General features: G+C 35.9%; 1 protein-coding gene and 1 long non-coding RNA gene across 15 annotated transcripts in view, besides 2 other annotated features; one reads left to right on the forward strand and one right to left on the reverse strand.

Annotated features, from left to right (window-relative positions):
• The window catches only part of MAPK10 (mitogen-activated protein kinase 10), a 583670-nt gene that overhangs the window by 109541 nt on the left and 452492 nt on the right, over positions 1-21637 (reverse strand). The gene's annotated exons all lie outside the window — the stretch shown is intronic.
• Positions 1-21637, forward strand: part of MAPK10-AS1 (MAPK10 antisense RNA 1) — a 100121-nt gene that overhangs the window by 140 nt on the left and 78344 nt on the right. The window contains exons 2-3 of the long non-coding RNA NR_110879.1: positions 39-656; positions 7647-7755. This is a non-coding gene — a long non-coding RNA (MAPK10 antisense RNA 1). The remainder of the gene's footprint in view (positions 1-38; positions 657-7646; positions 7756-21637) is intronic.
• Positions 14600-15146: an enhancer, noted in NCBI's record as "H3K27ac-H3K4me1 hESC enhancer chr4:87055698-87056244 (GRCh37/hg19 assembly coordinates)". NCBI's record gives its function as "activates a minimal SCP1, AML or CMV promoter by ChIP-STARR-seq in primed H9 embryonic stem cells {active_cell/tissue: H9 hESC(primed)}" and the evidence as "EXISTENCE:reporter gene assay evidence [ECO:0000049][PMID:30033119]".
• Positions 15147-15691: an enhancer, noted in NCBI's record as "H3K27ac-H3K4me1 hESC enhancer chr4:87056245-87056789 (GRCh37/hg19 assembly coordinates)". NCBI's record gives its function as "activates a minimal SCP1, AML or CMV promoter by ChIP-STARR-seq in primed H9 embryonic stem cells {active_cell/tissue: H9 hESC(primed)}" and the evidence as "EXISTENCE:reporter gene assay evidence [ECO:0000049][PMID:30033119]".

Raw genomic sequence — 21637 nt, forward strand, 5'->3', positions numbered from 1 at the left:
ATTGCAGCTGAACTTGTCTCTATTTTCTTTTTCCACAGGTGTTGGCCCCCAAAATACTTCCTAATAAATCTCCTGCATGAAATCACCATCTCAAAGTGTACCTTCTGGAGAATACAGTGTTTGGAAAGCAGTAAGTCATGGCTAAATACAGCAATATGCTCTGGAGTTCACTTGGATACTTCCCTAGGCAAAAGGCAAGTCCAATTATGGATAAACATGGCTAGACTACGAGCTCAACATCAAGAAAAGCCATTTCACCTATGTAACCAACTAACCTAGATGACCAAGCCTAATTATAGAGTTTTCATTCAAAACCACTTTGTGCTTGGTAGACACTAAATTGAAGCAAGGCAGCAAGTGGGTCTCACAGCCAGTCCCTCAAAGACGTATCAAAAGCAGGAACTTCTTAAAACACTAGAAACTGAACTAGTACTTTACAACCCATCAGCAAACTAAAGACGGGGAAGACCACACAAAGATTATTCACCTTAATCAAAAACATGGGACCAGCTCAGCAGCTCATCACCACAGAAAATAGATGAATGGAAAGAAAATGGCTGCTCTAGACACGAGGCAATTTCTGGAAATCAGGATGGTGACATTGGAGAAGAAACTGAAGATTCTTGGAGAAATATTAACTTCATCTCAGTAAAATGGTAGGTGATGGAATGCACACAGACTGTCTCAGTTTCTCTTCTTTGATCTTTGTGACAAATTGTCTCATGCCCATTCTGCTCCTTTACTGACCATTCAATGGACCATTCATATATTTATCTAGTCGATGTTTTAGTCTACAAAATTCACAAAGCTGCCAGGCTGCCAATTGATAGGGTAAGCTGAAAACTTGGGAAATTAGACTGGCCAGCCCTGCTATAAGGCATATAGGGTGTAGTTAGACAGCCTTGCTACACTGATTTTGCCATTTACTGTGTGGTATAAACCAATAATTATTTGGTTTTTAGTGTTTAGTAAATATTTTCTAACTTTGCAATAAAACCCTTCCGACAGAAATAAATAAAATTAAAACTACATATTTAATTAAAGTACTATATACTAAATTTCTATTTCTTATATATTCTTGGTCACAACCAAATGAAAACCAGAAACAGTTCTCCTAAAGGACCATCAGCATCTATTTCAGTTAGTAATTATTGTAAGAAGGCTGTGCCTACATACGATGATTTAACACATGCAGCTATGTCTTAGTCTATTTGGGCTGCTATAACAAAACATCTGAGAATGGGCAGCTTATAAACAGCAGACATCTATTTCTCACAATTCTTGAGTCTGGGAAGTACAAGATCAAGAAACAGCCAGATTTGGTGACTGGTGAGGGCTTGTTCCTCATAGAAGGCACCATCTTGTTGTGTTCTTACATGGCAGAGGGGATAACTAGCTCTTTGGGGTCTCTTTTATAAGGGCACTAATATCATTCATGAGGGCAAATCCTCATGACCTAATCACCTCCCTAAGATGCCACTTTCTAACAATATCACATTGGAGATTAAGTTTCAATATATGAATTTTGGGGAGACACAAAAGATACATTTGCAGATTACTCTGAATCATAACTTTTCATTTAGCTCAAATGACTGTTCTTCTAAATTAATTTTGTTTATTTTCATTTTTGTGAGGATTACAAAATATATTTTTAATTGACAAAAATTGTATATATTTGTGGTATAAACCATCATATTTTGATATATGTATACATTGCAGAACTGCTAATTCAAGCTAATTAACATATATATTACCTCTCATACTCAGATTTTTTTGGGTTGAGAACAAAAATCTCCCTAAGTAATTTGTAAGTATACAATATATTCTTATGAACTCTAGTCATTATGTTGTACAATAGATCTCTTGAACTTATTTCTCCTGTCAAACTGTCTAATTTTGTGTGCTTTGACAAACATCTCTCCAGTCTCCCCCGCTTTTGGCCTCCAGCCACTGGTAACCACCATTCTATTCTCTACTTCTCTAAACTTTATATCTCAACATAAGCTCCATCAAGTTCAAGACACTTTTGTAAGCAACAATCCTGCCATTTAGTTCATCCCTAAAGAACTCAGGGCCTTGGGAATTTAATCATGTTAATACAGTCTTTTTTTTGGGAGGGGCATTATTAACTGAGAAAAATGGGTGGCTTTAAACATTTTCTAAGATTAGAAAATAAAAAAAGTCAGATAGAGCCAAGTGAGGACTGTAAGGTGGATGCCTAAAATTGCCCCTGTTTGCAGAGAGGAATGAGCAGGAGCATTGTCATGGTAGAAAAAGACTTTCTGGTGAAGTTTCCCAGGCATTTATCTGCTAATGCTTTGGCTAACTATCTCAAAACACTCTCATAATAAGCAGATAGTATTATATTTTGGCTCTCCAGAAAGTCAACAAGCAAAATTCCTTGAGTATCCCCAAAAACTGTTGCCATGACATTTGCTTTTGACCAGTTCACTTTTGCTTTAACTGGACCACTTCCACCTCTTGGTAGCCATTGCTGTGACTGTGCTTTGTCTTCAGGATCATATTGGTAAAGCCATGTTTCATCTCCTGTTACAATTCTTTGAAGAAATGCTTCAGGGTCTTGATCCCACTTGTTTAAGATTTCCATTGAAAGCTCTGCTCTCTTTCATCTGCAACTGTTCTGGAAGCAACATTTTTGGCACCCATTGAGTGGAAAGTTTGCTCAACTTTAATTTTTCACTCAGAATTGTGTAAGCTGACACAATTGAGATGTTTATGGTGTTGGCTTTTGTTTCTGTTATTGTCAGTCCTCTTCAATTAGGGAATAAATAAGATAAATTTTTTTCCTTGAAAATTGATGTGGATGGTCTGCCTCTGTGGGCTTCATCTTCAACATTGCTTCATTGTCCATTTGTAAACTCCTGATTTATTTGGAGCATCATCCCCATAACTTTGTAAAGCATCAATGATGTCTTCATTTTTCTACCTAAGTTTTACTATAAATTTGGTGTTTGTTCTTGCTTCAATTTTTGCAGAATTTATGTGGTTCTGATAGGTGCTCTTTTGAAACTGATGTCTTATTCTTTTTAGTGCCTCAAATTAGATCCTGTTCATAGCTGTTATAACAAGGTACTACAAGTTTATTCTGGTGCAAAAAACATGAAATCCATGCATAACTTTTTCATAATACACACTTTCCATAACTTTTTAAAGCCCCCTCGTATAACTGAGGTCATACAGTATTTGTCTTTCCGTGTCTGGTTTATTTTCCTTAACATAAAGTCCTCCAGGTTTATCCATGTTGTCACACATAACAGGGTTTTCTTCTTTTTAAAGTCTGATTATTACCTTATTGTGTATATATGCCATATTTTATTTATTCATTCATCTTCTGATGAACACTTAGATTGATTTCTTTTCTTGGCTATTGTGAATAATGCTGCAATGAATATGGGAGTGCAGCTATCTCTTTGACATACTGATTTCATTTCCTTTGGATTTATACCCAGAAGTAGGATTGCTGGAGCATATGGAAGTTGTAGTTTTAGTTTTTTGAGGAACTGCATACTGTTTTCCATAATGGCCGTATTAATCACGTGAAGATTTTTTCAAGACCTTGCTTACATCAACATTGCTACAACCCCACTGGTCTAAGCAAGTGACATAACCAAGTGTCAGCATGAGAGGGCACTACCGAAAAGCATGGATACAGGAAGACATAAGAGATTGGATTACAATCAATATGCATTCCCTTATTTATCACTATTATTTTCATTTAATTCTGCAAATAAATTACCAGTAAGTTCCATAATGACCTTCTTCCACATGTACTTACTTTTAGGTCATGTCAGTCAGAACAAAACAACCTAAGAATGACAGAAAGCATGCTGTTCATTCTATTCAACTCCCAACTTCTTAAATATATGTACCATAAGTTAAGCAACAGTTGTTAATGTGCTGCCTCTACTAGCAGAAAATAATTTTATAAACATTTAAGTTATGGCTACTTTATTTCATTTTATCATATGCCTCAAACATAAAATTAATATATTTCAATACTAGTTTGATTTTTTAATCCAATTCAATGACTCAAAATAAAGCTATGGAAGGTCATTCTATCAAAGTTTAAAATCTGACAATAGTGTAAAAAGTATAACAATTTTAGTTGAAAATGTTGACATTGAAGATAGGTTACTTATTTTTTCAGTGATAACACACAAAAAATTTTTGCTGAACATAATTACACTAAAAACAGTATTCTTATCACAATAAGAAATGTATGGAGTAGAAATGGACTCTGAATTTGTTGTGGTGCAAATATAATTCACATTGGGTCCAAATAAATTGCAATATTCTACAAATCAAAATAGAAGATAAAGGTGACAAGATTTATAAATATTTTTATAATTAGAATCACTTTATTACAAAATTTTGGAGACAAAGCTGATATTGAATTAAAAAAATGAAAATACTTTAACATAGCAATCGGCATATTTTCTTGGCATTTCTCATACTTACTATTGAAAAATAACTTTTTATACATAAGTCCTCTAAACTTTGGGTGCTTTTTTTTTGCAAATTTACTTGGAAATGTTTAATCATAGTATTTCACAAATGGAGCATCCCAGTATTCAGCTCTTGAAACTTTTAAGGAATAGCTATTATTATTAACAAAACTTGCAACTTGAAGCCCACAAGAATGTGCTGAAATGGACTAAAGCAAGAAATTAACTGAACAAATCAAATGAAATAATGCATTCTCAAAGACAGGATAAGATTTGATTTTGAGATTCCATAATCATACTTTAGAATATCTTAATTTGTGAGAACAGTCTTTAGATAAAGTTCTGAATTGTATGATCTATTTATATTCTATGTGGCACCTGGTGTAATTTCTAATTTCCAAATATTTATATTCTGTGCAGGATTGAAATATGATTTTAAAGGCCTATAATTTTTCTGCATCTAAATTTGGCAAACCATTAAAAAAGCCATAAATTTAGGCAATCTATTTGGCAAGTGTGGTATTATGAAGTTATTTCTTGGATAATGGAACACTAAATGAAGGGGGGGAAAGCTCAGTGTCTGTGAAAAACCTTGGACTCAAATACTTTTACATTACAATGCAAAAATACATTAGAATTAAAAATATTTTCAATTAATAAAAAGAATATTTTCAATTTAGCAAAATTTGTTCTTAGCAGATACCTAAGCCCCTTTTGAGAACATTTTTCAAATAAAAATATTGTTATATATATTAAATGTGTCAATATTTCAAATTTATTAACCATAACAAGCAATTTTGAAGATTCCCAGAAGTTTCATTAAAACTTAAGAATAATAAATTCATATTAAAAAGCTGACTTCAGAAAAATATCAGAAATTTCAGCAGATTAATATACATGAGATGTACCACAGTAATTATTCTTCTCATTAAAAAAAATTAGGCAATTCATATAAGTTATAAAATATTAACTATTTTTATTTTCATTTTCAAAAATGTTTGTTTAAAACAATTTCTAATAACATTATTTTTACGACCATCAATATAATATATTTTAGCATGTACTTTCATTGACAAAATATTCCCTTTTAGATATAAGTGATATGCTCCCCTGCTGCTCAAGGGCACTGTGCTTCTGGTTGAAGAGGCTTTTACATGTCACTCCCCCAAGAAAAAGAGTTAGAACTAAGGACTGCTCTTCCGGGGTTACTGCTACATTCCTACCTTTGGCCATTTCATGGCAATAAAATTTAAAGTATTATTTATGTTTAGTTATTTTATCTTAACAAGATTCTTCTTATAAATCTACATGGCAACTTGGATGAGCATCAGTGTCTGGATGATGTTGGAGTTAGCTAAGGAGTGAAAGAGTTTATTGAGTATATTATGTTAACTTTATTTATGCCAGAAGCCCAACAGTGACACAGTGACTCTCAAAGTAGCCTTGTAGTAAAGAACATGCTATGTATAAAATTAATGACCTAAAGACATTAAGATGGCTCCTTTGGCTCACAGGTTGGTGCTTTCTTGAGACCTGTAAAATTGATGAGATTCATTAAGTGACCCACAGGAATTAGAAATGATTCCTACATGCAGGACATATAATTACGATAGAAATAAACTTCATTGCCCAGCCCATGGGCCTACTTTTCCTTCCTTAAAGCCTACCCCAGCACAGTGTCTCTGACTTTATGATTGTCCTCCACTAGTCTGACAACTGATGCAGCACTGCCAACTATGCATGACTCCTAACATCTCTTGCCTCTGGAAAATATATTTTAGCTATTTTGTAGGCCCCTGGACTTCTTTCCTTTGTTACTGCTCTGTCCCTCTTTGTCTATTCTTTATCTTTTCTTGTTTTACTTCCCATACTCAATCACTATCCAGGCTGACATTTATAAATTGTATTCTACCTTTGCAGCAGTTTATTTGTATCATAATTATGATATACTTGTCATCTATTATGTTTTATCACATTTTTATCTATCCTCAAAGTTGTGCTACTTAATGGCTGAAATCCTGAAGGACTTAGCTCTGTATCCCCTACATGTTTGTTGCATGAAATTATATTCACTAATGCCAAATGTTTATTTCCAAAGCTTTAAATATGTTAGAAAAGGGGCACTGGATAAAATAAAGGACACAAGTTTAAATAATCTAAGCTAGCGTATATTAATTTAATGCTGTGTTACTCAAGATGCCAAGATTTTATCTCTAGCTAAGATATTTTTCCCAAAGGTCCTAACATACTGTATTGTATACAACTGTATAAGTATACATATTTATATATACAACTGAACACCTCTAATTGGATGTCTTAGAAATATCTTAAAATTAGTATGCCCCAAACTGATTTCTCTTTAACCTTAAATCGCCCTCCTCCAATCTATTGTTCAAATACCCATTTGTTCAAGTTGGGAAGTTATTTTTGTTTTCCTCATGTGATTTCCCCATATCCAATCCGTGATTTCCCCATATCCAAGGCCTATTTGTACCTCCAGTGTATATTTTCAAATTGAACCACTTCACTCTAATTCTATTTCCATCACCATGTGTTACACTAGAAACTGCCCCTTATATAGTCTCTGCATTAAACCTCGCTTTCCTCCAATCCATACCTCATCATCCTCATAAAATCTCATCTAAATTAGACTATCCCTGCACATTATTTTGTGTTTGAAAATCCTGCTTGTTGTATTTAAAGCACTGTTATGTCCTAAGTAACACAACATGAATAAAATAACTAATAGAATTCACCTCATAAAGTTGTTAGGAGAATTAAGTTAGCTTAATTAAAAAAAAAAAAAAAAAGCATCCTACTACTTGACTGTAAGCCCCATAAGGGCAGGGACCATATCTGTATTGCTCACTTTTGCATTGAGAGCATAGTACAGTGTCTGGCATATAGTTAGCCTTAAATAAATAATTGTTACACAAGTAAACTAATTGATGATTGATGTACTCCTAACACCAGAGGAGAGTGAATATATAGTCCTTAGATTTCTATGAACATGACTCAAATAGGCTTTAACTAGTTTTCATACTTTAAAATTCTGAAAAAATGTGTATTTTAATTCCATATACATGGAATTAAATATGTATATAATTAGGATATGTTTGTTTTAATATGAAATCTCATTTCCCCATAACACTTCATCTTCTCCTAAAATTTGGATTTCAGGAAGGCTTGCCATGTTTCTCCTGTGGCTTTGACTACTCCTGGCACATTGTACCTGCAACTTCCCTGCCTGGCCCTCACCCTGAGGCACAAAGACTCCAGTTTGAAAAGTGTGAGATTAACAAATAGATTTTGTTCTCTTTACCAAAATTTTATTATATAGCTTATTCTATATAATGACAAGGTAACTGCATTTTCTTCCACCAGTAAATGTTTTCCAAATATCAAATAATTTGCTGCATTCATTTTAGCAGAGATCAACTAAACTTACCCTCACATTGATCACTATCAATGTGAAACTTAGGGAAGCCTACAATGTAAAGACTAGATATAATTGTTGACTCTAGGTTTTAAAAAACTATATGTAGGGATTTTTTATTTTATTGTAGTGTTACTCAAATAATTTTAGGCACTGGGATTAGATTTCTTTCAGTAAGTTTTATTATATATATAGCACAGGCTGTCATTAGCTTAGACTGGAAAAACCATGGGTTTCTAAGTTTTATGCATCCAATAGTCCTATAAGATAGGCACTCTTGTTGTTCAAGTGCCAAAATCAAGACTTAATAATAATGAATAATTTTTTTAGTTATAAGCACTTTTGCTCCCAACTCATTTGTTTCTAAAGTTCTTAATGCTTTACATACATGAGTAACTTGATTCTCACTAAAACCATATGAAGTAAGTATTACTATTGATATGGTTTGGCTGTGTCCCCGCCAAATCTCATCTTGAATTGTAGTTCCCATAATCCCCACGTGTCCTGAGAGGGACCAGATGGAGGTAATTTAATCATGGGCCGGTTTCCCCATCCTGTTCTCATGATAGTGAGTTAGTTCTTATGAGATCTGATGGTTTTATAAGGGGCTTCCCCCTTTGCTGGTCTCTCATTCTTCTCCTTTCTGCCACCATGTGAAGAAGGACGTGTTTGCTTCCCCTTCTGCCATGATTGTAATTTTCCTGAAGGCCTCCCCAGCCATCCTGAGCTGTGAGCCAATTAAATCTCTTTTCTTTATAAGTTACCAAGTCTTGGGTATGACTTTTTTAACAGCATGAGAATGGATTAATACAATTATAATCTTGTTGTAGTCCTTTTTACTATGTTTGCTATTTTTCCATAAGTTTGAAATTATTTAGAAATAAGAAGTAAATTTTTTATTATAAATATATAGGAGCACAACACATATTGGAAAAATTAAGATATAACTGACATCACTTGCTGTGATGCATGACAACTATTAATTTTCCCTTGGTTTTCTAAGGTTATTAGAATTTTCAACATTTTAAACTTTCCTTATTATTAAAGCAAAAACTAAATATTTGCAAGCTATTCCACTAAGACGGCAGTATAATTCTCATTATAATGAATAGTGTAAACAAGAAAATTCCTATATGCCTTTCTGATTCTAATTTTACAGTTAATTTGTTCATTTATTCACTTGGTCAACAAAGAGTTAAATAATATTTATTTAGATAATTGAAAGAGTTGATGATAGAAAAATAATTTCATGTTAATAACTAGAAGTTAGACTTACTTTCTGGACAGATGTTAGCATTAACTTGCTGTATTTTTACAGACATTTGGCAAACCAGTAGAGATAAGGAAACTGAGTCCCATGGTGGTTAAATAATGTGCTCACAAAACAATTAGTTTATGGTAGAATTTTCTCTTATTGAAACTTTACATAAGCATCTTTGTGCTTGTAAAAGAAACAAAAATTGAGCTTCCAGAAAATACTAAAAGCCAAAAGCATATAAAAGTCACAAAATTATTTTTGATAAGACCAATGTGTTTGAGAAACGTAGTAAAACCAGATAAAAGGCTAACAAATTCTGCAATTGTTAGCTGGTTTTTGTTTGTTTTAAATAAACATGAAGATTGTCAAGACAAGGTTTGGTCCATATAGTAGTCTTCTCACATAACCTATTAATATTTCTCTAAGTATTTTAAACCAAGATTGAAGTTGGCACTTTGAGACTACATATTGGGATTTCTTTGCACAATTACCTAAAAAGTATCACACCAATCAAATACGAGTATTGATTTTACTCCTAAATGCACGTCCTGCTCTTGTACTCTCTACCTTTTTCCTGTTGGTTGGTGTCATTAGCAGCCAGTTTACTGACCCCAAATGGATTTCCTGACCAGCTGGTTTTAACAGCCCTCCCCAATGCATCCTGCTTTTGTGGTTTTGTGTGTGCTCAGTTTGGGAACATGAGGCAGCAAACATTAATAAGCTCAAAAATAGAAAAGAGATTTATCTATGCACTCTTTTGTGATGCAGCTTAAGTTTGGAGATAGGTCAGAATCTGCAAGACTCACTTTAAAAATTACAAAAATTCTCTTCTCACCAATATTCTTTCTGGGCTATTGGCAAAAATGAAAACGTGTGTATGAATGTGTGCACATGCGTAGATTCAATGACTGCTGCATATGTGAAACCATTTCAATACTTAAGTTTTGTGTCCTCTGGGATTACAAAAATAATATCTCTTTTTCTTTTGACTAAGTGCTACAGGGAAATGAAATTCTATTGTAGCATTTCTTTTTAATTTGAGCTGATACTCACTTTTGACAATCAAGTTCATTTCAAGTTGTTGTGAGCTATCTCTTCATTTATTCAACAACAATTTACTGATCTTCTGGAATGTCTCCTTTTTTACTTATTGGACATTTTTATTTAGATAATATAAAAAACTTCATATGAGGTTAAATTTAAATGCTAATAAACCATGTCATGTGTTATAGTCCAGCAAAAACTTGCTGATCAAGCAAAGTAGAAGTTTCTTGTACTCAAAGAACTATACCATATTGAGGAATATAAGATAGATTCAAACTAAACAAATAATTAGGTCAAAAGGAGAAAATACTAGATGCTAATGGAAAGGTCTTATTTTAAGGAAATATAGAGAATGACAAAGAGAATAATTGCTAGATAAATGTTCTTGAGGTGACCAAATGAAATGTGGTCTAATCGCAAGAGCAAGATTGGCTTACATACGATAAAATACTTTGTGCATAGCATCAGCAGGGAAAGTAGATTAAAGGGATTCAGATGTTAGTCCATGGTAAATGTGGTGGGAGCCAAGAGCTTATGGATATTCATTTCTGATAGACTTTAGTTTTGCTGTGAAATGGGAAGCAAGATTTTCAGATAAGACACAGGATGGGGAAGAAGATGTTGGGGTTTTGAGGAAGAGGTGAAGGAATGAAATTGTCACTTAGGGCAGTAGGAATGTAAATGGGCTGGAGATCCTGAACAGTGATAAAGGCTCAGTCATTCCTGTTGGTATTAAATTTAGAAGAGACCATACAATCTGAATGTTTTTCTCCAGGCTTGTTCACAGATTCTAGTGCTGAGGAGCTGGACTGAACAAGTATTTTAATTTTGCCAAGAAGAAAGAGGGGAAGATAGTGAAAGCTTATAAATGGGATAGATCATAATATAAGGCACAAGATCTAAGCAGTATAAGGAGGGAAATGAGTACATGAGGGTAGTCAGGGACAGATAAATTATGGCAGATTGTAGGTGGTTGGAGAATTACTGAAAATAAGTGCTAGTATCAAATCAAATGTTTCACTTTTTCTAGAAACAAAAAATTTCAAGGAATTGAGATGGTTAACTTACTTTCATTTTGATAGATGAAAAACACGCACAAACAAGACCTAGTGGGTGTTTTTGCCTGTTTTGTTTTTATTATCTAGCTAACAGGCATACAGACAGTTTAAGTGTTTAAGAGGAGTAGAGAAAATAATAAACATGAAGAATTATTACTGCAGAATGTGGGATTGAACTTGAGGATTTAATAAAACCCAAACTGTATTTCGAGATTAATCTATCAGTTCTGAAAAGCACAGTTAGGAATGGACCTACTTAGCTAGGGATTTATCCTAGCATCTGGACTAATTGCTGTACTTTTACAACAAGAATTATAATTCTCCCCCAGTTTTTATCATAGACTATAGCTTTATTACAGTTTCAAGGTAGAAAATAAAAAGAAAAAAAGAGGCTTCACAACTCTATGATTGAATTACTGGCAGCATGTTGTGCCAAGAATGCAATTAGTCAATTGTTTCAGCATAAATCCTGTTTGTAGGCCAGTAAGTAATGTAAAATGTTAACATTAAAAAGTGTTCTTCTTTACACTAAATATTTTAAAATAATGTTATTTACGAGACGATGCAAATAGCATTTTATATGGATGAGCTAACATGGACTATCAAAATGCTACATTTACATTATGAAATAGGACTCTGAAACACTGAGAAAACACAGCCAAAATGCTTGATAAAAGCCACGAAATAAATTGAAATGTACCAGATCAGAAAAGATTATCAAATATGAACCTAAAGGAATACAAAACTGGAACTTAACTCCAAGGGTTATCTCATCTCCTTTCTGCTTCTAGTCAGTAGACGATACACTGCTGGTCCTAGTCCATAAAGTCTAAATGAGTTAATAAAGATCTCAATGAGTTAATAACTTACTTATTTAACTATTCATACATATATGAAACTTGGATATAATTCTTAGTTCATAAAGGTCTCAATGAGTTAATAACCTAGTTCATAAAGGTCTCGATGAGTTAATAACCTAATTATTTAATCATTGATACATGTATGAAACTTGGATATAAATCTTCTGTAACTTTATTACTGATGTATGTTGAGTTAAAATATTGAGTAGTAGAGTAGTTATTCCTCTAATGATTTTATGTTGCCCTTTATCGACTGTTGAAAAGAAAACTCAAACTGAACACATTTTTTTGTATTGGGAAATGCATATAACCAAATATATTTACCTTATTGAGGAATAACAGGTCATGTGCCTTTGAAACTATACATTGACTATGTTAGTCATAAAAATGCATTTTTAAGGCTAAGTCCAACTGATTTTTGTCATGAAGTCAACAAAAATTTACCTCTAATATTTTCTGATCTTAAGTTCTATTCCAATTCCTTTAACTTATAAATAATATAAGACAAGGGTCCCCAACCGGGCCACACAGTAGGAGGTGAGCTGTGGGTGAGCAAGCAAAGCTTCAACTGTATTTACAGCCACTCACCATGACTCACATTACAACCTGAGCTCTGTCCCCTGTGAAATCATCGTCAGCATTAGATTCTCATAGGAGCGTGCACCCTATTGTGAACTGCGCATATGAGGGATCTAGGTTGAACACTCCTTGTGAGGATCTAATATCTGATGATCTGTCACTGTCTCCTATAACCTCAGATGGGACCATCTAGCTGCAGGAAAACAAGTTCAGGGCTCCCACTGATTCTACATTATGATGAGTTGTATTATTATGTCATTATATATTACAATGTAATAATGATAGAAATAAAGTGCACAATAAATGTAATGTGCTTGAATCATCCCCAAACCACCCCTCAAGCCCCAGGCCCATGGAAAAACTGTCTTCCACGAAATCGGTCCCTGGTGCCAAAAAGGTTGGAGACCACTCAAATTTGACAATTCTAAACATGTATATGACATTATCAGTAATGAATTGTGAAGCTGAAAAAAATATTTTCCAAACTATCAATAACAAAAGATATGTTTAAACTGATCATAGTATGGAAGATACTGAATTTCTGTTTTCTCTACAGATAATGATATTACAAAATCATCTTCATGTGGAGACATATTAAAAGAGTATGCAGCCAAAAGTATATAGTAAAAAGGGTATTATATCAGAGAGCTGAAAAATAAAGTATTATCTTTTTAGATTTTATGATTCTGTGGTATTTATCAGCTTTTTTACAATTTGTGATTTGTTGTAATGTATTTATTCTAAGTAAATAATTCACTTTCATTCTTAATTTTGTATTTGTGATTTTTCTTAAAGAGGGAGCTCCAAAATTTTATAAGCTTAATGTGCAATCATAATACAAATTTTCCTGTCTGCAACATAAAAATTTTTAATGCCTACAGCCAAAACAGTTTACAGGGTATGACCAAGAGCTAGAACTAAACTACTTGACCTTTCTCAAATAAATGTGTCTACAGTTTTATGTTTAGAAGAGAATTTGAACTCTAAAAAACTCTTTTTGTGGGTATTAACACGTATGAATCTATCACACTTAGCCAGAACTTTTGGCTCAGATTTTGGGTGTTGAGCCAGACATCTTGCTGGTGGCTCCAACTGAGATTAAGTCAGTCCTTACTGACCATGTGGTAAATAAGTTGAGGAGATAACCCATTCCAAATCTGAACATCAAAGTACCTCAGACACATCGTGGCTAGAGATTCTTTGCTTAAAAGCATTGGTAGTCCATAAATAATGATTCTCGGGTAACAAAAAAATATGTAATCTTAGAATGGGATGAAAATTTAAGATTTCATTTAATCCAACATTCTACCAAATGAAGAAATTCTATGTAAAGTACAATATTCCTAAGAAATGTTCATCTGGCCATCTTTTGCATGCAAACTATCAGTCACCAACTGCTTACACCTTCACAAGGAAGCCAACCCATGATGAATAGCTTTCACTCTGATAAAATTATTTTCTTACATTGAGCCAAAATCTAAGTCCTATTAATTCTGTGAATGTGCTCTGGAGTCAAGCTGAGTAAGTCTACACATTTATTGACACTTGTGACTTCAAATATTTGAAGATATCTTTCATCTCCCTGAAGAGCCAATCTCTCTACAAATTAAGTATCTGTAGCTCTAATTTCATTAACCATTCCCTTCCTATGTATATTTTCAAGGAAACTAGAAGTGTGATAACTACATTATATATTTATAGACCACTAATCTAGCCAGCCAGACAAATTGAAAATTTCTCTGAAAAATTGAAAATATCTAACTCAAACTCCATTAATAGCAATTAATAATCAGATTTTGCAAAACTGCATTAAAGTCTCCACCCCTGCCCTCTATTTCATTATCATATTGCCACACACCACACATACTTTTTCCAGTTTGTTACTTGTATTTGATGTGTAAGCTGATAACAACATTCAGTTATTTCAAAATTTCCAAATCATAAGAAGTTAGGAAAATGAAAAAATATTACTTTTAGTGGTAATAATTACATATTATCTTTGTCATTCAAATTAAAGTAAAATTGGGGGGAGGAGCCAAGATGGCCGAATAGGAACAGCTCCAGTCTACAGCTCCCAGCGTGAGCGACACAGAAGACAGTGATTTCTGCATTTCCATCTGAGGTACCAGGTTCATCTCACTAGGGAGTGCCAAGACGGTGGGCGCAGGTCAGTGGGTGCACGCACCATGCACGAGCCGAAGCAGGGCGAGGCATTGCCTCACTCGGGAAGTGCAAGGGGTCAGGGAGTTCCCTTTCCTAGTCAAAGAAAGGGGTGACGGATGGCACCTGGAAAATCGGGTCACTCCCACCTGAATACTGCGCTTTTCCGACGGGCTTAAAAAACGGCGCACCACGAGATTATATCCCGCACGTGGCTCGGAGGGTCCTATGCCCAAGGAGTCTTGCTGATTCCTAGCACAGCAGTCTGAGATCAAACTGCAAGGCAGCAGCGAGGCTGGGGGAGGGGCGCCCGCCATTGCCCAGGCTTGCTTAGGTAAACAAAGCACCCTAGAAGCTCCAACTGGGTGGAGCCCACCACAGCTCAAGGAGGCCTGCCTGCCTCTGGAGGCTCCACCTCTGGGGGCAGGGCACAGACAAACAAAAAGCCAGCAGTAACCTCTGCAGACTTAAATGTCCCTGTCTGACAGCTTTGAAGAGAGCAGTGGATCTCCCAGCATACAGCTGGAGATCTGAGAAGGGGCAGACTGCCTCCTCAAGTGGGTCCCTGACCCCTGACCCCCGAGCAGCCTAACTGGGAGGCACCGCCCCAGCAGGGGCACACTGAAACCTCACACGGCAGGGTACTCCAACAGACCTTCAGCTGAGGGTCCTGTCTGTTAGAAGGAAAACTAACAAACAGAAAGGACATCCACACCAAAAACCCATCTGTACATCACCATCATCAAAGACCAAAAGTAGATAAAACCACAAAGATGGGGAAAAAACAGAACAGAAAAACCGGAAACTCTAAAAAGCAGAGCGCCTCTCCTCCTCCAAAGGAACTCAGTTCCTCACCAGCAACGGAACAAAGCTGGATGGAGAATGACTTTGACGAGCTGAGAGAAGAAGGCTTCAGACGATCAAATTACTGAGCTATGGGAGGACATTCAAACAAAAGGCAAAGAAGTTGAAAACTTTGAAAAAAATTTAGAAGAATGTATAACTAGAATAACTAATACAGAGAAGTGCTTAAAGGAGCTGATGGAGCTGAAAACCAAGGCTCGAGAACTACATGAAGAATGCAGAAGCCTCAGGAGCCGATACGATCAACTGGAAGAAAGGGTATCAGCAATGGAAGATGAAATGAATGAAATGAAGCAAGAAGGGAAGTTTAGAGAAAAAAGAATAAAAAGAAATGAACAAAGCTTCCAAGAAATATGGGACTATGTGAAAAGACCAAATCTACGTCTGATTGGTGTACCTGAAAGTGATGGGGAGAATGGAACCAAGGTGGAAAACACTCTGCAGGATATTATCCAGGAGAACTTCCCCAGTCTAGCAAGGCAGGCCAACGTTCACATTCAGGAAACACAGAGAATGCCACAAAGATACTCCTCGAGAAGAGCAACTCCAAAACACATAATTGTCAGATTCACCAAAGTTGAAATAAAGGAAAAAATGTTAAGGGCAGCCAGAGAGAAAGGTCGGGTTACCCACAAAGGGAAGCCCATCAGACTAACAGTGGATCTCTCAGCAGAAACCCTACAAGCCAGAAGAGAGTGGGGGCCAATATTCAACATTCTTAAAGAAAAGAATTTTCAACCCAGAACTTCATATCCAGCCAAACTAAGCTTCATAAGTGAAGGAGAAATAAAATACTTTACAGACAAGCAAATGCTGAGAGATTTTGTCCCACCAGGCCTGCCCTAAAAGAGCTCCTGAAGGAAGCGCTAAACATGGAAAGGAACAACCAGTACCAGCCACTGCAAAATCATGCCAAAATGTAAAGACCACCGAGACTAGGAAGAAACTGCATCAACTAACGAGCAAAATCACCAGCTAACATCATAATGACAGGATCAAATTCACACATAACAATATTAACTTTAAATGTAAATGGACTAGATGCTCCAATTAAAAGACACAGACTGGCAAATTGGATAAAGAGTCAAGACCCAACAGTGTGCTGTATTCAGGAAACCCATCTCACGTGCAGAGACACACATAGGCTCAAAATAAAAGGATGGAGGAAGATCTACCAAGCCAATGGAAAACAAAAAAAGGCAGGGGTTGTAATCCTAGTCTCTGATAAAACAGATTTTAAACCAACAAAGATGAAAAGAGACAAAGAAGGCCATTACATAATGGTAAAGTGATCAATTCAACAAGAAGAGCTAACTATCCTAAATATATATGCACCCAATACAGGAGCACCCAGATTCATAAAGCAAGTCCTGAGTGACCTACAAAGAGACTTAGACTCCCACACATTAATAATGGGAGACTTTAACACCCCACTGTCAACATTAGACAGATCAACGAGACAGAAGGTCAACAAGGATACCCAGGAATTGAACTCAGCTCTGCACCAAGCGGACCTAATAGACATCTACAGAACTCACCACCCCTAATCAACAGAATATACATTTTTTCAGCACCACACCACACCTACTCCAAAATTGACCATATACTTGGAAGTAAAGCTGTCCTCAGCAAATGTAAAAGAACAGAAATTATAACAAACTATCTCTCAGACCACAGTGCAATCAAACTAGAACTCAGGATTAAGAATCTCACTCAAAACCACTCAACTACATGGAAACTGAACAACCTGCTCCTGAATGACTACTGGGTACATAACGAAATGAAGGCAGAAATAAAGATGTTCTTTGAAACCAACGAGAACAAAGACACAACATACCAGAATCTCTGGGATGCATTCAAAGCAGTGTGTAGAGGGAAATTTATAGCACTAAATGCCCACAAGAGAAAGCAGGAAAGATCCAAAATTGACACCCTAACATCACAATTAAAACAACTAGAAAAGCAAGAGCAAACACATTCAAAAGCTAGCAGAAGGCAAGAAATAACTAAAATCAGAGCAGAACTGAAGGAAATAGAGACACAAAAAACCCTTCAAAAAATTAATGAATCCAGGAGCTGGTTTTTTGAAAGGATCAACAAAATTGATAGACCGCTAGCAAGACTAATAAAGAAAAAAAGAGAGAAGAACCAAATAGACACAATAAAAAATGATAAAGGGGATATCACCACCGATCCCACAGAAATACAAACTACCGTCAGAGAATACTACAAACACCTCTACGCAAATAAACTAGAAAATCTAGAAGAAATGGATAAATTCCTCGACACATACACTCTCCCAAGACTAAACCAGGAAGAAGTTGAATCTCTGAATAGACCAATAACAGGAGCTGAAATTGTGGCAATAATCAATAGTTTACCAACCAAAAAGAGTCAAGGACCAGATGGATTCACAGCCGAATTCTACCAGAGGTACAAGGAGGAACTGGTACCATTCCTTCTGAAACTATTCCAATCAATAGAAAAAGAGGGAATCCTCCCTAACTCATTTTATGAGGCCAGCATCATTCTGATACCAAAGCCGGGCAGAGACACAACCAAAAAAGAGAATTTTAGACCAATATCCTTGATGAACATTGATGCAAAAATCCTCAATAAAATACTGGCAAACCGAATCCAGCAGCACATCAAAAAGCTTATCCACCATGATCAAGTGGGCTTCATCCCTGGGATGCAAGGCTGGTTCAATATACGCAAATCAATAAATGTAATCCAGCATATAAACAGAGCCAAAGACAAAAACCACATGATTATCTCAATAGATGCAGGAAAAGCCTTTGACAAAATTCAACAACCCTTCATGCTAAAAACTCTCAATAAATTAGGTATTGATGGGACGTATTTCAAAATAATAAGAGCTATCTATGACAAACCCACAGCCAATATCATACTGAATGGGCAAAAACTGGAAGCATTCCCTTTGAAAACTGGCACAAGACAGGGATGCCCTCTCTCACCACTCCTATTCAACATAGTGTTGGAAGTTCTGGCCAGGGCAATTAGGCAGGAGAAGGAAATAAACGGTATTCAATTAGGAACAGAGGAAGTCAAATTGTCCCTGTTTGCAGATGACATGACTGTATATCTAGAAAACCCCATTGTCTTAGCCCAGAATCTCCTTAAGCTGATAAGCAACTTCAGCAAAGTCTCAGGATACAAAACCAATGTGCAAAAATCACAAGCATTCTTATACACCAACAACAGACAAACAGCCAAATAATGAGTGAACTCCCATTCACAATTGCTTCAAAGAGAATAAAATACCTAGGAATCCAATTTACAAGGGATGTGAAGGACCTCTTCAAGGAGAACTACAAACCACTGCTCAAAGAAATAAAAGAGGATACAAACAAATGGAAGAACATTCCATGCTCATGGGTAGGAAGAATCAATATCGTGAAAATGGCCATACTGCCCAAGGTAATTTACAGATTCAATGCCATCCCCATCAAGCTACCAATGACTTTCTTCACAGAATTGGAAAAAACTACTTTAAAGTTCATATGGAACCAAAAAAGAGCCCGCATCGCCAAGTCAATCCTAAGCCAAAAGAACAAAGCTGGAGGCATCACACTACCTAACTTCAAACTATACTACAAGGCTACAGTAACCAAAACAGCATGTTACTGGTACCAAAACAGAGATGTAGATCAATGGAACAGAACAGAGCCCTCAGAAATAACGCCGCATATCTACAACTATCTGATCTTTGACAAACCTGAGAAAAACAAGCAATGGGGAAAGGATTCCCTATTTAATAAATGGTGCTGGGAAAACTGGCTAGCCATATGTAGAAAGCTGAAACTGGATCCCTTCCTTACACCTTATACAAAAGTCAATTCAAGATGGATTAAAGACTTAAACGTTAGACCTAAAACCATAAAAACCCTAGAAGAAAACCAAGGCATTACCATTCAGGACATAGGCATGGGCAAGGATTTCATGTCTAAAACATCAAAAGCAATGGCAACAAAAGACAAAATTGACAAATGGGATCTAATTAAACTAAAGAGCTTCTGCACAGCAAAAGAAACTACCATCAGAGTAGCAGGCAACATACAAAATGGGAGAAAATTTTCTCAACCTACTCATCTGACAAAGGGCTAATATCCAGAATCTACAATGAACTCAAACAAATTTACAAGAAAAAAACAAACAACCCCATCAAAAAGTGGGCGAAGGACATGAACAGACACTTCTCAAAAGAAGACATTTATGCAGCCAAAAGACACATGAAAAAATGCTCATCATCACTGGCCATCAGAGAAATGCAAATCAAAACCACAATGAGATACCATCTCACACCAGTTAGAATGGCAATCATTAAAAAGTCAGGAAACAACAGGTGCTGGAGAGGATGTGGAGAAATAGGAACACTTTTACACTGTTGGTGGGACTGTAAAGTAGTTCAGCCATTGTGGAAGTCAGTGTGGCGACTCCTCAGGGATCTAGAACTAGAAATACCATTTGACACAGCCATCCCATTACTGGGTATATGCCCAAAGGACTATAAATCATGCTGCTATAAAGACACATGCACACGTATGTTTATTGCGGCACTATTCACAATAGCAAAGACTTGGAACCAACCCAAATGTCCAACAATGATAGACTGGATTAAGAAAATGTGGCACATATACACCATGGAATACTATGCAGCCATAAAAAATGATGAGTTCATGTCCTTTGTAGGGACATGGATGAAATTGGAAATCATCATTCACAGTAAACTATTGCGAGGACAAAAAACCAAACACCGCATGTTCTCACTCATGGGTGGGAATTGAACAATGAGAACACATGGACACAGGAAGGGGAACATCACACTCTGGGGACTATTGTGGGGTGGGGGGAGGGGGGAGGGATAGCACTGGGAGATATACCCAATGCTAGATGACGAGTTAGTGGGTGCAGCACACCAGCATGGCACATGTATACATATGTAACTAACCTGCACAATGTGCACATGTACCCTAAAACTTAAAGTATAATAATAAAAAAAAAAATTAAAGGAAATTTATGTATGCATTCTGATTTCAACCAGCTACAAATTACACATACATGTGTATGCACAGGCAGGTGTGCACAAATACACACACACACACGCATGCACGCATAACTATTGGCTGCTAGAGACTTAGTAATTACTTCCCAGGCTCCCAAGTTCAGTTTCTTACTAGATGCACAATAAATACTTTGCAAAGTGTCAAAAGCACTGTGTTTGTCAACAGCAATTTTCAAAAAGGAAGGAAACATAAATTATGCATTTCTCTAAATAGCAAATAATCTACATATCCAGACTGAATTTTTAGCTAGAAAGACCATTAATCATTGAACCAATACCCAATACCCTCATTTTATTTAGACATGAGGAAATTAAGGCCTAAAAATACAATTAACTTGTTCAAAGTCATTCAGCTTATTTGTGACTTAGGTTTTAAAAGGCCTTGTACCATGTTCTAAAGAGTTCACCCACACCACAACATACAAGTCAAGCTCAGAATGATTCATTACCTTACAGAAAGGATATAGTTTACAAAAACATGACACTGGTATCTTACAAAAAATATTAAAATGATAGTCCTATGGTGAACATGAGATAGTTAACTGCTGAACAAGGCACAAAGAGCTACAGCAAATGCCTCAAATCTAGTGACCCAAGATAACCCCCTGAGCTTTTTTAACCTGAGGAAATTGTGTCATGAAGTCCACATCTTTATTCAGTGTGGGGGAGTATTCTGTCTTCAGTTTCTACACCACTGGTAGCTTACTCTTTCTAGCCAGAAGAAGTTTAAGACACCATTCTCTTATTATAGCAAAGACTATCAGTTATAGAATGCAAGAAAAAGAAATTAACATTGCGCTATAGCATCTTAAAACAGAAAGAAAAG

The sequence above is a fragment of the Homo sapiens genome, chromosome 4 (genome assembly GCF_000001405.40).
Source record: "Homo sapiens chromosome 4, GRCh38.p14 Primary Assembly".
NCBI classification, from domain to species: domain Eukaryota; kingdom Metazoa; phylum Chordata; class Mammalia; order Primates; family Hominidae; genus Homo; species Homo sapiens.